This window comes from Homo sapiens, chromosome 2 (genome assembly GCF_000001405.40).
Source record: "Homo sapiens chromosome 2, GRCh38.p14 Primary Assembly".
Lineage (NCBI taxonomy): Eukaryota > Metazoa > Chordata > Mammalia > Primates > Hominidae > Homo > Homo sapiens.
The window spans coordinates 152507598-152526019 of NC_000002.12; the positions used below are offsets into that span (position 1 = coordinate 152507598).

An 18422-nucleotide genomic window follows, 5' to 3' on the forward strand; every position below is an offset into this window, starting at 1 on the left:
TGCCTATGAACATCGAGCAAGTAGTTTCAGTTCTGTGATATAAACTTAAATTTTCTTATTTTACCTGAAGACTAGAATCTTTGTCTGCAGCCACAGCCTCTTCTGTGGACACTGTGCTACCGTCCATGTGTCTACTACTGTTTTGATAGGTACTTTTTGTGTTTCGTGGTGGTCCTAACAGGGAGATCTTTTTGTTCTCATTTTCAAATAGAAACACCGAGACTCAGAGAAATTTAGTTACTTGCCAGAGTGAACAGCTAGTAATTGGAATTTGAACCCAGGTATGAGTAATTCCAAAGGTTGTAATTGTAATTTATTGTGATGACCAGAAGACGTTTTCTAAAATTCTGGAGTTATTTCAGAGTCATTAAAGAAAGATTAAGTTACGATAATATGGCTTTTGTGTTAATTTGATAAATCGTATTCACTTAGAAATCATGCATGGTATGTGTGGCACCTCTCTATTAAACAGTGTGCCTGTTGCCCAACCATGTGCAATAACAGAGAATATATTGTGCTTATCATTTATAAATATATGTATAGAAGAGAGAGACAATGAATGGACCTATTTGTCAGTGGGCAGCTGACTGGGATGGAACACTGCAGCAACGCTGAAACGACAGACCCCCGAGATAGGATGGTGTGTGGAGGATCAGATTTTAAAGGCTTGTTTAGGGAGGTGTGTAAGTGCTAAGTAGTTTCTCAAGTTGAAAATTAGGAATCTCTTGATCCTGTCACTTCTCTATAAAACCTAATAATCAAACAGGGATTCATTTGCACTTGGAGTTGCATTTCCCTCTGGAAGAAGACAGATCTAAATCAGAGGTATGCTTCAAGTTGGCAAACACTTTGGGTGGGAAGCAACATTAGGTACTGGATGAAGTGCGTTGCATTAGCCCTGGGCTCCTTAGGACTTGAGGTGTAATTTGCAGAAGGATAGATTGGTTCATGTGAGTTAGCTATGGTTCATCTCTTGAGTGATGGGGGCGGAGTTGTTATAGAATGTAAGAATGCAAAGATTGAATGGTCAATGTGGTATTTTGGCATTCTTCCAAATCCTTGTAGCTCTTTTGGAGAAGCATAACACTGCTTTGTAGGAAAGAGAAAAGTGTTTACATCCAGAACATATTGAGTGGGTGTACTGAGTTCAGCAGCCAGGGTCGTGTCCCCCAGGCCTACTGTTGTGGTTTACCCAGCTGAGACGCACAGAGGGTCAATACAGTCAGATTTCTGCATCCTGCCACCCCCCGCCCATTTTCATCTCTGTCTTGCATGCATGCTTGCTTTTTCCTTTTTCTTGCCCACAACCAAGTCCAGCACTTAAAATGGAATAGTGCACACTCTAGGGCCTGCTTCCCAGAAATTCTTTGTCTGTAAATGTAGGTGTGCGCCCACCCTGGAAAATGCTTTCTTCTTATTGCCTTGCTTGGTGCATGCAGTGCACATGTCACCATGCTTCCTTGTTTTAGGCTGAAACCAGACCACACACTTGGGTAGCACTTTACACCTAGAATGTACCACTGTGGTGTGAGAATATAAAACCAGGCATAACTCAAATGACATGGATTTTATTTCACATGAACCTTTTTATCTCCAAATAGACAAACATTGAAAACCTTATGCCCCAACAAGAAAGAGGTACTTCTTATTGAGGTATCTAAGGGTACCTGTTTATAATATGATTTAGTTCAGCCATATTTAATAAATAATCTATTATTTAATGTTATAGTTGTTGTGCATTGTATGTATAAATTCTAAATTTCCATGTACCACACATCAGAATTAATTTTATTATGGGATTTTTTTTTTTTGCTCAACTCATAACTGTTAGATGTGTATTGTGTATCTGTCCATGTTCTGAGTATTATAGAAAGCATCCAAATATGCCAGAGAACTTTCCCTCTCATTGGATAAAAAGTGTACACATGTGAAATGGCAACCAATACGGTCACATTTGGTCCCTTGAACAAGTGCTATTAGAGATAATACAAAGAAAAGGTCACCCCAAACATGGTATATAGAAGACTCAGGTCTTGGGTTGAGATGTAAGTTTGATGGAGAGAAGGTGAGTGGGATGGTAGGAGAGGCAGGTCAGGTCCAGGCCTGGAGTATAAGAGAAGGTATATCTGTACTCTGGACCTTTTTTTTTTTTTTTTTTTTTTTTTTGAGAGAGGGTCTTCCTCTGTTGCCCAGGCTGGAGTGCAGTGGCACAATCATGGGTCAATGCAGCCTCGAGCTCATGGCTCAAGTGATCCTCCTGCCCCAGCCTCCTGAGTAGCTGGGACTATAAGCACATGCAGCCACACCTGGCCAATTAAAAAAGTTTCTCTTTGTAGAGATGGGATCTCACTATGTTGCCCAGGCTGGTCTCCAACTCCTGGGCCCAAATGATCCTCCCACCTTAGCCTTCCAAAGTACTGGGATTATAGGCATGAGCCATGATGCTCGGCCTATCTGGAGCTTTTAAATATATATTTTTAACTTTACAGAGTTGAAGTAAACTCTGTTAGTATTTGTATAATATTTAACAACCACGTACAAATAGATAATGACTAAATTTGACACTTGCTTTTCTGTTCCTAATTACTTATTTGTTTAAAAGGAGATTAAAGATCTTGGAGCAGAATGCCTTTTGTTTATTGAAATGCAGCTTGTTTGGCTGAGCAGAATTCTGTTAGACAATAATTATGCACCATCTGAATACAAGATACTTTATTGGGGTACTGTGGCTGTAAAGAGGACTAACAAATTATTTTTCCTTCCAGGGACTTGGAGTTTTGTAAGGATAGAAAGAGAAGTCAGTAAAATAGAATGTGATTGGTGGTCCCCTCAAAAAGATCTTGATGTTGTTGAGTTGCTCTTATGTCAGTTGTTTTGGGAATTCTTCTATTTTTATGACATCTTAAGGAGTTTAGCAGTTTAAAAAATTATGAAAGTGTTCCCTTAGACATTATGTGTGAATTAACTTGTTGATTGTTGGTGTTGACCATAAAAATACCAGCAACGTTAAAGTATTACTTTAATACCAGGATGTCGTACACACAGATGCAAACACTTACTTCATGGTCTTTTCCGCTACCACGAGGGGTGAGAGCCAAAAGCTAAGTGGCAGGCTAAAGGAGTGCAAAGAAGGAGAAAACTAAGAGCAGAAAAATTAATCCACTTGTCATACACCAGAAGGCCTGCCACGCAAGACTTTCCAGCTTTCCTGCCTATCTTGGCTGGGCTTGTCTGGAGAGACACTGTGGGTTTCTGGAAATGAGACCATCAAGACTGATAAACACGTGTTGTGGTGAAACCTTAAGTTGTCTCAGTGTTACTGTGTGTTTGGATAGGGCAGAACTTTACTTCAGAACATGGCTCCTTCATGAGTTGATAGTTTTATTTTTAATTTTTTTGGTAATTTAATCTTAGGACATCATAACTTCAGGTATCTGAGTCTCTGTTTTTAATTCCTTTGTATATATACCTCATTGCAGAAATGTAGGGTCCTCTGTTGAGTGTGTGGTCAACATTTTCAGGAACCACCACACTGATTTCCATAGTAGGTGTACCATTTTATATTCCCAATAACAATAAACAAAGGTACCAGTTTTTCCAAATCCCTGCCAACACTTATTCCGCCCCCACCTTTTGAAATTACTCTTTCACTTTTAAGGACCCTGTGATTATAACTGGTTCCCACCAAGGTAATCCAGGATAATCTTCCCATCGCAAGGTTCTTAATCATATCTGCAAATCACATTTTAATATGTAAGGAAAATTCACAGGTTCCTGGGATAGAGATGAGGAAATCTTTGGGGGCCATTATTCTGCCTATGACAGCAAGTCTACCTTTGAAGTTGCAGCTGTTTGCAAATGAGAAGCCATGAATTTGAGGCTATAATTTTGATCATGGTTATGGCAAAAATATTCATTTTTAAGACAAAAGCATAATCTTTCTCTTGTTATTTCAGAAGACGTGACCTTAGTTGAACATAAACTTGAACTCTTTTCCTCCTTTGGTGATCCCCATCATAAGATTGAATAGTATGAGGCTGTAACCTGGGCCAAGCTTGAGTATAGAATCCAGGTTCAGTAATCGTTTCCAGAGTGACTGCTGTGAAAGAGAAGAGGGAGACTAGCGATAATCTTAATGTCCTGAGAAGGGAATTACAGATATGTTGCTGGGAAAGGGCTGGGGGAGAGTGAGGCCAGGGTTCCAGGGCAGTGGGACAGGTGAAATTATATACTGCTTCAGATCAGCAGGTGATACAGACTGCAGTCTCATGGCTTTCTTGTGGTAGAATCTTGATATCTAATATGTTACAATTTGAGTTTGGTATCTTCAGTTATCAAATTGAGTTTACTCTTCAGATCTTATCACATAGAAAGTTGACATTCAACAGCAGAATAAGAACACTTTCTCTGGATTTCGATGCATTTTGGTCTGTGCCAGCAAGCCTAGTACCTTAATATATTTGGCCTCATGTTGTCTAATCATTGCCCATGAAGGAGTTTTCTAGCATCTCAAGTGTGGCCTCTTGTGTAACTCCCTCATTCAGCACACAAATGTGTGGATTCAGACACAGCTCCTGGCACAGCAGTTAGCAGACAGTAGGTGAAGAGTTCTTTGAAATCCAGAACATGTCAAGAATCGTTAGACAGCAGACCTCTAATGAAAATCAGACATGAAGTTTGAAAAAAATTGCATGAGTGATTCTTTCCATTATTCTCTTTGTGTTTAAATGCAATAGGAATCTGTATTTTAGGGGCTGGCACTTTGGCCAGAGGAGGGATGTGTGGTTTTTCCATCTATTAGATGTTGAATCACTAAGCCAATGATATGGGGAGTAGTAGGAAGATGGGCTGCGGGAGAGCTTGTCCTTGACTGCTATAGCTGCACCCTTTTGTCCTGTGGACAAGATTGGCTCTCCCACCTAGCTTGGTCTGTATTGATGATAATCTGGCCTTGCAATTAAATAAATACCATAAACATAAATATGTACATAGTGAGCTCCTTTTTTAATGAACTCCTGTTTATTTGCATTTAAAAAGGATGGCAACAGTGTGACTACTTTAAAACAGTAGATAATTCACATGAGATTTAGGGAATTCATTTTTGTCTGTTAGGTTGTGTTCACTGGTTTAAAAAATGGATAATTTTCTAGAGGTTCATAAATTAACAAAATGGGTTGTTTTATGTGGATGGAGCCCAAAATCAAGGAGGAATGAAGACAGTGGCAAGTGCTGGCACTTCTGTTCTAAGAAAACTATAGTCAGGAAAAGATGGAGGTGCATTAAAGTAGCAAATTTCAAGTGTTCCAACTACTTTACATGCGTTATCTGATTTGATCTTCTGAAACTTCTGTATGTGTATTCACACACGTGCACAAACACCCTCCAACATATGTAAGTGATCCTTCTTTCATGTTAAAAGAGAAATAATAAGAGACATGTTGGCCTGAGTTCTCTTTAACAGCTTCATTGAGATATAATGGATACAGAAAAATGGTATATTTTAAACTGCATAACCTGATGTATTGATATACAGTTTTGTGTTGCTTAACAATGGAGACAGGTTCTGAGAAATACATCATTAGGCAATTTCATCGTTGTGTGAACACCACAGAGAAATGATAACCACCTAGAGACATGATCACGAGAGTCAGACTAATTAATATATCCATCATCTCTCAAGTTACCGTTTCCTCCTTTTTTAGTGTGTGTGGTGAGGACTTAAGATTTACCCTCTTAGCGAATGTTAACTATACAATACAGTATTGTTAACTAGAGTCACCATGCTGTACATTAGATCTTCAGAATTTATTCATCCTGCCTAACTGAAACTTGACCAACATCTCTTCATGTCCCCCTGAGCCTGAAGTCTTTGCTCTACCATTGGTAATAACCAGTTCTGTGAACTTGGACAAATGCTTTCACCTTTTTAGTCTGTTTTGGTCACCTATAAAAGACAGAACAGAATGAATGTATCACAAGCTTCTCTTGTAGCTCTGTACTTTTTGATTATAAAAAAGTTATGGAGGAGTCATAAGAAAGCAAGCCTTCTAAGAAAATAGACTGTACCTAAGATTGTGATTGAGAGATTAGAGGTATGTCTCATTACCACAGTTTCCCCAGAAAGGACAGCTTTCTAGTCAGCTTTTATTTCCAAGATGTTACTAGATTAGGGAGAGCCTAATTTCTCCCTTTGTGAGCTTCACTGGCTACGGCGGTGATATTAGTACCCTCAATGATTCAATAAAAATAACAGTGACAATGAAAAATGACTGACTGGTGATTCACTTTGGGGAACTATTTGGCTGGCTGCCTGAGACCTGTGCCAGGAAAGAAGCTGAATAGATTTTAGCAGCATCCTCTAGGCTAGGAAGATAATAAAATTTAGGATGCCAGGTAGTTGTTTGGACCATGAATATAGGTCATGGAAGGAAATGGATTTTAGGTGAGGGGAATTGATGGGCAGGCCATGTGCTGAATTTGCAGCCACCCTGCTGAGGCCCTCAGCTGTTGTAATTTTCAAGTGAACTCAGGAGAATTGGTACATTACTCAGTTCCAAGTGACTTAATTTGATGTCCCAATAATGGTATAAGGAAAAATGTCAATGTAGGAAGAGTTAACAGAGCAGGAGGAATCATTTACCTCATTTGATTTGAAGACCCCTTGAAGACTTTTCCTAGATATTTCTTTGGCCGATGACTTCTCACTGCCATAGAGTAAGTTTGAAATTATCTGGTTTGATGTCCACATGAACTTGGTCTCACGCTACCCACTCCTTACCTCCTGGTTTATTCTGTGTGATGCACAGCTCTTTGCCTTCTCCTGTGTTCATGCCTTTGTTCATATCTTTCCTTTTACCTAAAATAATGAGGATAATATGAATAATATCATTTAACATACTGAGTACTTTCCGTGTACTTACTTTTGTACTATTTTATAGTAATCCTCCCATATCCGTGGGGGATACTTGTCAAGACCCTCAGTGGATATCTGGAACCTTAAATAGTACTGAAACTAATATATACTATTGTTTTTCCTACATATACATACCTATGATAAAGTTTAATTTATAAATTGGGCACAGTGAGAAATTAGCAATAAGTAATCATAAAATAGAACTATTGTAACAATATACTATAATAAAAGTTTATGTGAATGTGTTCTCTCTCTCTCTCACAAAATATCTTATTGTTCTCCACGAACCTATTTTGGGGCCATGGTTGAACTCAGGGAACTGAAATAGCGAAATAACAGAAAGCAAAATCATAGATGTGGGTGAGGCTACTGTACATACATTATCGAATTTAATTTTGCCCAAACTCTATGATGCAGGTAGTAACATTACCACCATCCTCATCACCCTCATGATGCTTATCACTACCATGGTGATCATTTCCATGTCACAAGTGAGGAAGCTGAGATTTAGTATAAATAACTTAGCTGAGATGACACTCTAAATGAGTGGTAGTCATGATTGCAGCCCAGGTGGCCCATCTCCAAAGCCCACACATTAGAAACCATATTGTGTCATTTAATGCCATTCTTTACCATCCTCCCCACACATCCAGGCTCAATGCATAGTATTTTCTACTTTCCGTAGCAAAAAGTAATGGCTCCTTCTCTGAGGTTCTGTCGGATTATTTGACATGCTCCGTTTTATATTTGTGTATTCATCTTCTTTCCTTCTGCTTCATTGATGCCTTGTCAAAGCCTGAGTTTACCATGTATTTGTATCCTCACCTTGATTTGTTATTTGGCAGAGTTTATTAAGTATATATTGATTTGACACTGTACCTTGCTATCTGTATTCAGCCCAGTCAGTTTTTTGGCTCCAGTTTATATTTTTCAACATCTTAAAATACTTCAATTAAAATGCCAGTATCTTATATGAAAATATTAATATCATGCATTTCCACCTTCACTTTTCGTGCTAATGACTGTGTCTGGTTATTTAAGTGGAATTGTGAGATTGCTTAGTTCAAATAAGTCATATTTTAGAAACATTGTAGTTTAAATGTCATGGAAGGGGGATGATCATACAGACCTCTATTCTGAGTCCTGGCTTTGCCACCTACCTCATGCATGGAGGAATTACTTAACCTCCTTGTCCTCCGATTTCCTTCTCTGTTAAATAGAAAAGATAATAACTACTTGTCAGGATTATAAGACAGACTAAATTGGATAATGCATGCAAAGAGCCTAAGTGCCTGAGACATACCAGTCCGTCAATAAATGGTACATCTTGTTGTTTTTGACCCTTGATTTCGATTCTTCAGTTTTGAATTACATTTACTGGCTTTTTCGACTGTGGGGTGTTTACTAATTTCATTTGCTTTAGGATTCAAATAGTGTGGTTTAAGATCACCCGTAATTAGTAGAGTCAGGATTAGAATCTAGCTAGTCTAATTCCAGAGCCCAACTAGCAAAAACTAATAAATGAGTAAATCCTTGCTTGCACCGTCTCATTAGAATTCATTGTGCTACCCAGCCATCCAGTTGAAATCCATCCCATTTCCTTTTTTGTAGCGACAAGTAATGGCTCCGGGGAAGGGAACATGGGGAGTTGTTGTTTGATGGGTACAGAGTTTGTTTTGCAAAATGGAAAAGTTCTAGAGATCCGTTGCACAATAATATTAATATAGTTATAAACACTACTTAAAGTATAAACTTAAAAATGGTTATGAGGTAAATTTTATATTATGTTTTCTACCATAACTGAAAAATTTTTTAAAGTAATGACTCCTTCTTTTGAGTTCCTGTAAACCTCTGTATCTCTATTATTTAAGAGCTCTAAAAGATTGTCTAAGCCATTTCTTTTGTGACATGATTTTCCCTGCTTCCATAAGAAGCACTACTTGCAAAGTCCATGTTTTTTCTCTCTAAGCAAGTGGTTATATAGTAGAAGAGTTCCTGTTATAAAATCTGGTGACTGAATGCTTGTGAGTTTTAATTTAGAGATTACAAGGACAAAGATATATTACATAAGGTGTATTTCATACTGTTCAATTTCCCTCCTGTGTGTCTCCATATCACTGTGGGTTTCTAAGTATGAGCCTTGAGAATATTTGGGTAAAAGAAGGATTTTACAAGTTTGCATTAATACCATGAAACCAGGTCAGGAGCTGATATCAGAAAACTCTGTTTTGCTACCACATAGGTCTATTTGGTTGTGAATGATTTGGGCACCATCATTCTGTTCTGTGTTGTGTATGATAATCTGTGGGTATAACTTGAGATGTATAGGCTACCATAGATTCTTCTTCACCATAATTACTTTCTTTATAAAGTACTCAGGAATTTTGGGATATTCTATTTTTCTTTATTTTCTAGTTATAATTTCTATTTTCAAAAGGTTCTGAGATGGAAAACACATTTAAAAGCAAATTAAGATTGTACAATTATGGATAAAAACCAAAGTAGAGACCATACATGTAACTACCACTTGGAATAGATACCAATCTGAATTAACTGGCACTGAAACAAAGTTCAGATTCATGGTTTCATGGTTTATTGTATGTGGCAGAAGACGCTCATTTTTCTTTTCAGGAAAATATTGCTAGAATTGAAGATTTTTTTCCCCCGTGAGTTTTTTTTGGAAAATAATAAGCAACAGATATTATCATGGAATGATGTTTTACAAGAAACTGAAATACTGTTCAGTGTGTAGACATTGTTAATAGCTATAATATAAATCCTAATTCATTAAGGATATTTGCAGGCTGGGCAGTATGGCTGATTTTGTTTGCTCTTCAGTATTCAACAACCTGCTTAATGCCTACCGTTTGCCATACTGTGCCATACGTTGATGGTTAAGAAGAACATCAAAAATTGTTCTTGAAGCACTCAGTCCAGTGGGAAATTTAGGTAAGCATACAGATTGTTAGGGTACAGTGTACTAGGTGTTATATTAGAGACATGTAAACAGTGCTGTTAGAGCCCAATGAGAGGGTATGTCTTCCTGGAGTAGTGGGGGGAAGGTTCTAATGATAAATGACATTTGAATTGATTCTTACAGTTTGCCAGGTTGAGAGTGGAAAGAAAGGAACAATTTTACAGAAATAATACTCTTGGATGATCTAATTTATTTTAGCTAGGAACTTGTACAATCTAGAAAAACAATAATTAACATCCACTGAACTTTTCAATTCAAATATCATATGTCTTCCATCGACCTTTGGCGATACTTGCAGGCAGTTACTTGGTGATTAAGTTGTCTCAGATGCCTACAGTGCGGACATTCTGGTATATGGTTAAAGCCCAGGAAATATGTTGGATGGAACAATGGATGAAAAGAATGAAAGGAGAGCCCTATGTCACAGATGTCACTAAGAGTGGGTGAGGTAGAGTTGTCACCGTGTTAGGAAGACTCGGAAATTGATTGATATTTTCAGCCAAATAGATGAGCAGTCCATTTTTATAAAGGCAGCAAAGGGACCTGGAGATAGAGCCAATATTTTCCTCACACAGTAACTTGGACTCATGAATTACCTGCTCAAACATTTAGCTTGGACTCCAGAGTCTTGCCCTGAACAGCACAAGAGGAATGAGTTCACTCGAAAGAAGTTTAAAGGCAGTTATTACCAGCTAATCACAACATCCCTGAACTTTAACCAGACCTCTGTAGAGTGTCTGATTTTAAATAGAACTGCTTCCTCATGGTCCTTATGGAATTATTAAGCTGTACAATGTATGTCTGAGTAGCTCAGAGGCTTGGCTCATGGAAGGGGTTATTTTAGATGCTTGGTGAATGATTACCCAGTGGAGCTTTAGTTTGGATGTATTGATGTTGCACTGCTACTTCTGACAATAACTAATCATGCTCAAAAAGACTTCTTAAGTCTCTTCTTGTTCAGAGATTCAGACCTTTCTTTTGACCTCCAGAATCATGTATCTACCTGCCCACTTGAGTGCTCTCTTGGTTATCTCATAGCTATCTCAGGCCTAAACAGGGTCATTTATAAATCTTATTCTTCACCAACTCCTCCAGATTTATTTTGCCTTTTGTTACGTGCCCCTCTTATTAACTGTACCCCATTCACTTAGTGACTCAAGCTGGAAACAAGGTACAAATCCTCCCCAGCCCTTAAGTCTAACCAGTCAGTTTCACTTAATATTTCTGACATTTGTCCACCTTTCTTCATTCAACGTGCCATCGACCCCATCTAAGCTGCCATCATTCACTTGAACTGCTTAGTCCTGGCCTCCTACTGGCTCTCTGCTTTTGCTGTTTCTAATCTGTTCTCCTCATAGCACCTATTGTTATCTTTGAAAAACAACGTCATTATGTTATTTATCTGCTTAAAAGCCTTCAATGGCTTCCCGTGGCACTTCAGATAAAATATATTGACCCTGGTCTGCATGTCTAGGCATGATATGGCTTTGACTCACATTTCCAACTTCATCTTTTTCTCATTCCTTCTCTTTTACTTTCTCTCTGGCTGTTCTGACTTTTTTCAGCTCCTTAAATGTGGAAAGCTAATTCCTGCCTTTGAGGCTTCCCTTGTTCACTGTGCCCAGTGTGCTTTCGTCCGCCCTCTGCCTGGCCAATCCTTCTCATTTATTGGGACTCATTTGTTACTTTTTCCTGAGAGGTTTTTCCAGACTGTCTAATCTAAGACTACCCTCTGATAACCTTTCTCAAGCCTTACCAGAGTTTAAAAAGCTTTGTTTGTTTCATATGTGTCTCCCCACCATAACACAGTGCTCTCTGGGCATCGCGTCTGTTTGGATTCCCACCGTGCCACCCAGCATGTTGCACAGGGCTTGTACAGGGGCAGTGCTCCATAAACATTTGTTGAACGAAAGACTCTTTAATCAAAATAAGAGTTAGTCTGGAAGGGGCATCTTGCCTTTCTCTTTGCAGAAAACGACAGAGCCTGTGTGTAATTCCTGTGGCGATGTTTGCCAAGTGCTTCCACGGGAATGTCTAGTAGAGTACTAATAGAAGGTCATAAGCTATTGCCGTTTTGCTCTCCTGCAAAAAAAGCTTGGTGGCATATTCAGAATTTATCCTTGGGAGCCTAACAGACTAAGTTTAGGTCCTGTCTTTGTTCCTGTAAAGCTGTGCAACCTTGAGCAAGTTAACCAAATTCTCCCGGGTCTATTTCCCTATGTTAAATGGAGAAGATTATGTCTATCCCACATGCTTATTATGAGTATTAACTGAGATTACATATGCAAAGTGTTGAATGGAGTACTTGGCACCTTGTAGGAGTTCAGGCATTCTTTTTCTTATTCCCTTTATATCTCGAGATTAGTGAGGACTCAAGAGGAAAAGAACTCATTTAATTTATAATCTTATTGTTCTTACTTAATGCATAATTATAGCTGGGGTGCTAACATGAAGGTCAACACCAGTTTAAGAGGAAAACCTCCTTCTCTGGAGTGCAAATAAGCAATGATGGACTGACCATTTACCAGTAAATAACATTAGACTTCCTCAGAAAGATACACATGAAATTCTCCTTTGCCTTATCCCAGGAGTTTTTTTTTAACATTGTCAAATTGTAATAACTAATAATTACAAATAGACTTTTTCCATTGTAGTTCAAGTAGATATTCCATGAAGACAGGCCATATGAAAACATTTTCCCATATTAGATGTTTCTATATCTAAGAAGCTTTGGCAGTACCATTGAAAACTCTTTATAAAGTCCAAAGCTCTTCAAAGTAATTGTCAGCTTTGAGGGGGGGTGATTAAAATATTAAATATTTTAGGCCAGGCATGGTGGCTCACGCCTGTAATCCCCGCACTTTGGGAGGCCGAGGCGGGCGGATCATCCAGGGGTCAGGAGTTCAAGACCAGCCTGGCCAACATGGTGAAACCCCGTCTCTATTAAGAATACAAAAATTAGCCAGACATGGTGGCAAGCTCCTGTAATCCCAGCTACTTAGGAGGCTGAGGCAGGACAATTGCTTGAACCCAGGAAGCGGAGGTTGCAGTGAGCCGAGATCGTGCTATTGTACTACAGCCTGGGCAACAGGAGTGAAACCCCATCTCAAAAAAAAAAAAAAATTAAATTAAATATTTTAAAGACAGGTTATTGTAAAATCTGATGGATTAGACTCAAATAGGTGGCAGATATACTTAAGGCATACCAATCTAGATGTTAGATTGAGTTTAAGGGAAAATGCTTGGTTTAATTTATCATAATCAGTGGTTGATTTTCTATCATTAAGTCAGGACAGCATACTCACCTTTGCCTCTGTTAAACTTGTTTCACCCTATAACACAAGACAATAACCATGACCAGGGGAATTGTTTCTCCCTAAGCCAAGTCCTTCAGAGAGCTAGGAGCTTGAGTATTAAAAGTTCAAGACCTTTGCATTTGTCTGCTTGAATATTGACCCAGATAAGGGACTACATTGTTTATTTAGGAATAGGTGTGACTTAGAGTGCTGATGCCAGGGGATAGACAGGATGATAAATAGGTATAATACTTTAATTGACTACTTAGCTCAGTTGTTTAGCACATGAGAACTTTGGGGAGGCCAAAAGAATAGATCTGAATTCTTTCTGAGGCTCTCTTACTCTGCCATGGTCTTTTGCCAAAGACCTCACTTTGCATCCAAACCTAGTATCTTAAAAATGTGTATGATTGGTCATTTGGGACATTAGATTCATGACATGTGAAAGTACCTGGGAAAAAATCCATGACCAGCACTACAGAAGGTGTGCTGTGTTAAGAGGAGGGTTTATACGAGTGCTGATGTCTGGACATCTCTTTTGCCTCATGATTAATTTCCTACTGCAAACTCACCTTCATAAACCAATATAGCTCAACTGAGAATTGTGGTTATTAATGTTGACATAAATGTTAACATATGTCCTCAAGGAATACTGTCATCTCACAGAGGGGACAAAAAATAGTTGCATTGTTGTCTTTTTTTTTTTTAATTCTTTTCCTCATAGTTGTTTATCAAAGTGAGTATAATTTGAATCTATCAGTGATTCTGATCATTGTGTTCTCTTTTGGTGTTTTCTGTTTTGTGTCTGGTGGGGCTACAGTGCTTTACAAAGAAATTGGATACCTTGTGACCTTTTTGTTGAGTAGAAAGGGAGTCTGCCAAAGCGACAAGGCATCACCTTTGCTAAAATGCAAGTCTGATTGTTCAAAGCAGATCATCTCACATGTCCCACCATAGAACTTCAGAATTTCCCGCCTCTCATCTAACCGATTTGATGTTTAAGTGACTTCTGTGGGTGTTTTGGTTTAATCAGATACTAGGAATTGAGAGAAAGTCATGAAAAAACCATAGTGGTATTATTTGGTCTGCCTGCAAGTTACCAATTTGGAAGCCTGCTGTGGAATGTGACATCTTTTCTCTCTTTATTTTTTTTAAACAGAATGCTATGAACCTACCTCCTGACAAAGCCAGGTTACTGCGGCAGTATGATAATGAGAAAAAATGGGAACTGATTTGTGATCAGGTAAGAAACAGTGACACTTTCTTTTATGAAAAAAGTAATGAAAGAAGAGATCCAGTGTGAATTTTATGGTATGTCAATATCATGATTGAAAAACAAGATATTTGCTTCTGCGACAGAGATAGGAAAAAAGAAGAGAACTTCAGAGAAATAACAATATGTTTGTGTGGATCTTCTTTGGATCCCAGTTTGAACAAGCTAATTATTAAAAAGACTTCTTGAGAAAATTGGGAATATTTGATTAGTGACTGAGATGCTTCCAAGAAATTATTGTTGATTTTGTTTGATCGTAAAGTACATAGAATAATACTGGGCACATAGTAGGTGCCTCTAAACTTGTGTGGCTGCCTCTGTTGCTGCTGAAGGGCCCAGATATTAAATATTGTGACTGTTACTGTTTTTATTTTCAACTTGTCCTTAAAAGATTCAGAGAAAGTTATATCAAGTTGATATGGTTTGGCTGTGTCCCCACTCAAATCTCATCTTGAATTCCCACATGTTATGAGAGGAACCCGGTGGGAGGTAATTGAATTATGGGGGCAGGTCTTTCCTATGCTGTTCTTGTGGTAGTGAGTAAGTCTCATGAGATCTGATGGTTATCATAAGGGGGCGTTTCCCTGCACAAACTCTTTGCTCTTTTCTGCCTCCATATGAGACATGCCTTTCACCTTCCGCCATGATTGTGAGGCTTCCCCAGCCACATGGAACTGTGAGTTCTCCATTAAATATCTTTCCTTTGAAAATTGCCCAGTCTCAGGTATGTCTTTATCAGCAGTGCAAAAACAGACTAATAGACAAATATATCATTATCTGTTATCCAAACATACTTTATGGTTTGAATAGCTGTTATATGATGCTGTCAGAAAAAGCCTCAGCTATAGATTTCCAGTCTAAAAATATTACTACCAACCTTATTTGTGAAGCCTTAAAATTATGACTGTGGGGTGGTGTTGATATCCAACATACAGGACACCCCCGGGCCCCAATGCCGTGTGCACGCAAATATTAATACAAATATTAATTTTACTTCTTGGATACAAATATTAATTTTACTTAAGCATATAGCATGGATATAGTATATGTTATTTAGGATACATGTTAACAGGAAAGGTACACAAAGTGATAGATAATGTTAAAGAAATTGATTTCCAAAAGAAACTATATAAATAAGAGTGTGAGGACTTATGGAGAAATTATTTCAGGTTTCAGTTTCATGAAAAATTACCATATGGACATGGTGAATCATGGAACTGGTCATTGTTTTCCTTGGCTGCTAAGATGCTCAGAGACAGATTTGTGGCCTGAGCCACAAATTTGGTATAAATGCTTATAAGAGACCATTTATACCAACTACACAGTACTTCAATGACATGTGTTTTACCAACCTCATCCATGGCTTCATCTCATTATTCCTGCCTGCATTTTCCCTCCACACTGATATCCTCACTGAAAAAAACTTACATGAAGTTGTAAACTTTTGTAAATTATCATTTTGAACAAGATATATTTAAATATATCAGCATTACTGGTGAACAAAGATTATTCTTGCATTGATAACTAAACTGAAATGTTCTCTATGCTATAGGCATTGTACAAATTAGTGCATTGAATCTGTTCTGCTTCTCTCTAAGGAAGCAAATATGGAGTGTCACAATAAATGCTTTCTCATGACTTGACTTTATCATGAAGTGGCCGTTCATTATTTAATTTGGGGCATCCATTTTTTCATACTTCTGTATGATTGCATTAGTCTATCACTTTGTTTTGTAAGTATTTATTTAAGTGTGTCTCCCTCAAGAGTAAGTTCCTTTAGGATATGGGCCTCTAACAACTTGCTTAGTGCTTGAAACGTGCTTATTGAAAACATGTTGAATGAAAGAAATAATGGCTAATATGGAAGACAGTGGAGAGGAAGCTTGCATTATTGGCAGAGAGGGCAGAAGGGAAAAAGCAGTTGAAAGAGGTGGCCTGGAAGACTAAGCAGAAGTTTGCTGTTTCCATATCCTTCTCACCTTCCTCTACCTGTCAGTGTGGTTTGCTTTTGGTAAAGGAAAGCAATTCACTGCTCATTTTTAGGAATTACTTTAAAGAGAGAAGGATAACATTTTTAAATGTAATAATTCAGTGGTACTAAATACATTCATGTTGAAGATAAATATTTCTTAATATGACAGATGCTGATAGGAATAGAGAATAAATTCCAGAAATTCTGTCCCAAATTTAACCAAATTAAGATTAAATCCCAAAGAGCTTTCTATAGTAACAATATTGCAGAAATGCCTCTTGGTCCTTTCCTGACTCATTGCATAAATACAAAGATGACCTGAGCTTCTAGTGGGTCTCAAAGGTGAAAGTAACATGGGAGACGTGTCTAACTAATTCTGGAGGGAGTGGGGCTACGGAAGCCACGGAACAGAGACATCTGTGCTGGATTTTGGGTGCAGTGAGGTGTATCCCAGCGTACCCATTTCTGTGTTATAGTAGGTGAACAGAGTTCCCATGAAGACATTATTAATTTAAGGACTCTGTGGGGACACAGAGGCAAATTTTGTAGTGTGAGCGTAGAAAGCTAGAAATGTCAGGTTTCTTTGATAACTGCAAATAAAACCCCTGAAGCTACTTAGCTGTAAGAGCTCTTTCAGTGGCATTTACACTTATGGAAAGAGAGAAAGCCCCTTAATCTCACTTGTGCCTCAGTTTTTGGTGCAGACCCTGTGCTGCACGTTTTGGTTTTGGAGCTTTGGCCATTTCCCGTAAGTTTAGAACTCTTAGCACAGTGGGTACTGTGGATAAATGCTGGTTTAGGGGGTTTAGAGATCCTGGATGAATTTAGACTTTTAGATCATTTATATCTAGAAGGGCTGTTAGAGACCATTTATCCCAAGCCACTCTGACTTTACTTTTTCTATTGAAAAAGTTAACACATGCTTGTCCAAGAAAGCTTGTGGAGGAGCATGTGGAGTGAAGTGCGCGTCCCTTCGCCTTTCCTATCTGTTTCCCAAGCCCCTTATTTTATAGATGATGAAACTGAGGTTCATAGAGCCTAAATGAGTAGGCCAATGCCAAGGTCACCCAGATAGTGAAACGAGAACATCTGTTTCCAAACTCTACTCACAAGCTTTTTCATTTGTTGCCTGTTATACCAGGGATCTGGAAACAAGCCATTGAAGCAAAAATTATAGTAGGTAAGGGTTTCTTACCGAAGTTTTGTGTGTGGCTGCTCAAATGATTTAGGGGGTGCCTACAGAACTTACAGGTTGTGGATTCATAACTGTGCCCCTGCTGGATGATCAAGTGGAAGTGGTTAGTCAAAGAATTCAGGACATTGGAGATGACTAATGCAGATGGGTGTAGATTCCACCAACATATAATCCAGTCCAGAAGCTGTTAGAGGTGCCATCCCTATGCTGGGTTATAAAAGCTTCCTTCTGTGTTTGCTGTTGCTGAGGGTGTGATTGGTTATTTTCTGTGGTGATTTGGCATGAGTGGACCTTGCCTCCTGATAGCTGGCTGTTGCTTTGCATAGTAGCCTTGGGGCAAGGGCCCAACGGAAGGGTGAGACATGGAAAATCTCCCCTTTCTTTACTTATATAAAGCGATGGAGAGAAGCAGATTAAAAAACAAAACAAAAGATGAGCGTGAAGAGGTAGCAGGAAATTGTAGCCACTTAGACTCAGCTTCCTGTGCGAAGCGTTTCAGGGAGGTCAGACTGCATCTCTCCAGGCTTGGCATGGGTCCTGATCTAGGGAAGGGGAAGCCCTCTGCTGCCACTCAGCCGGAGCAGAGTCAGGCCAGTGGCACTAAGAAGCCTCATTACTCTCATTGTGAGAGGTGATCTCTTGTCTTTTTCAACACAGCTGACCCATACCATATACATGTATTTAATCATTAAGAATATAATTTTTTTTAAACCCTTTACTTGTGGTCAAATACTATTTCTTTAAAAAAGAAGGGCAGGTTTTTTACTGGAGAACGTGCATCAATATTTAAGCCAAT

General features: G+C 38.6%; 1 protein-coding gene across 13 annotated transcripts in view; it reads left to right on the plus strand.

Moving 5' to 3' along the window:
* The window catches only part of FMNL2 (formin like 2), a 314653-nt gene that overhangs the window by 172424 nt on the left and 123807 nt on the right, over positions 1–18422 (plus strand). For all 13 annotated transcript variants that reach the window (XR_241279.5, XM_011510531.2, XM_011510533.4 and 10 more), the window contains exon 2: positions 14346–14429. Coding sequence is in view for 12 of the 13 variants with exons in the window: in XM_011510531.2 (XP_011508833.1) it covers positions 14346–14429 (84 nt within the window). In the remaining variant the exon portion in view is untranslated. The remainder of the gene's footprint in view (positions 1–14345; positions 14430–18422) is intronic.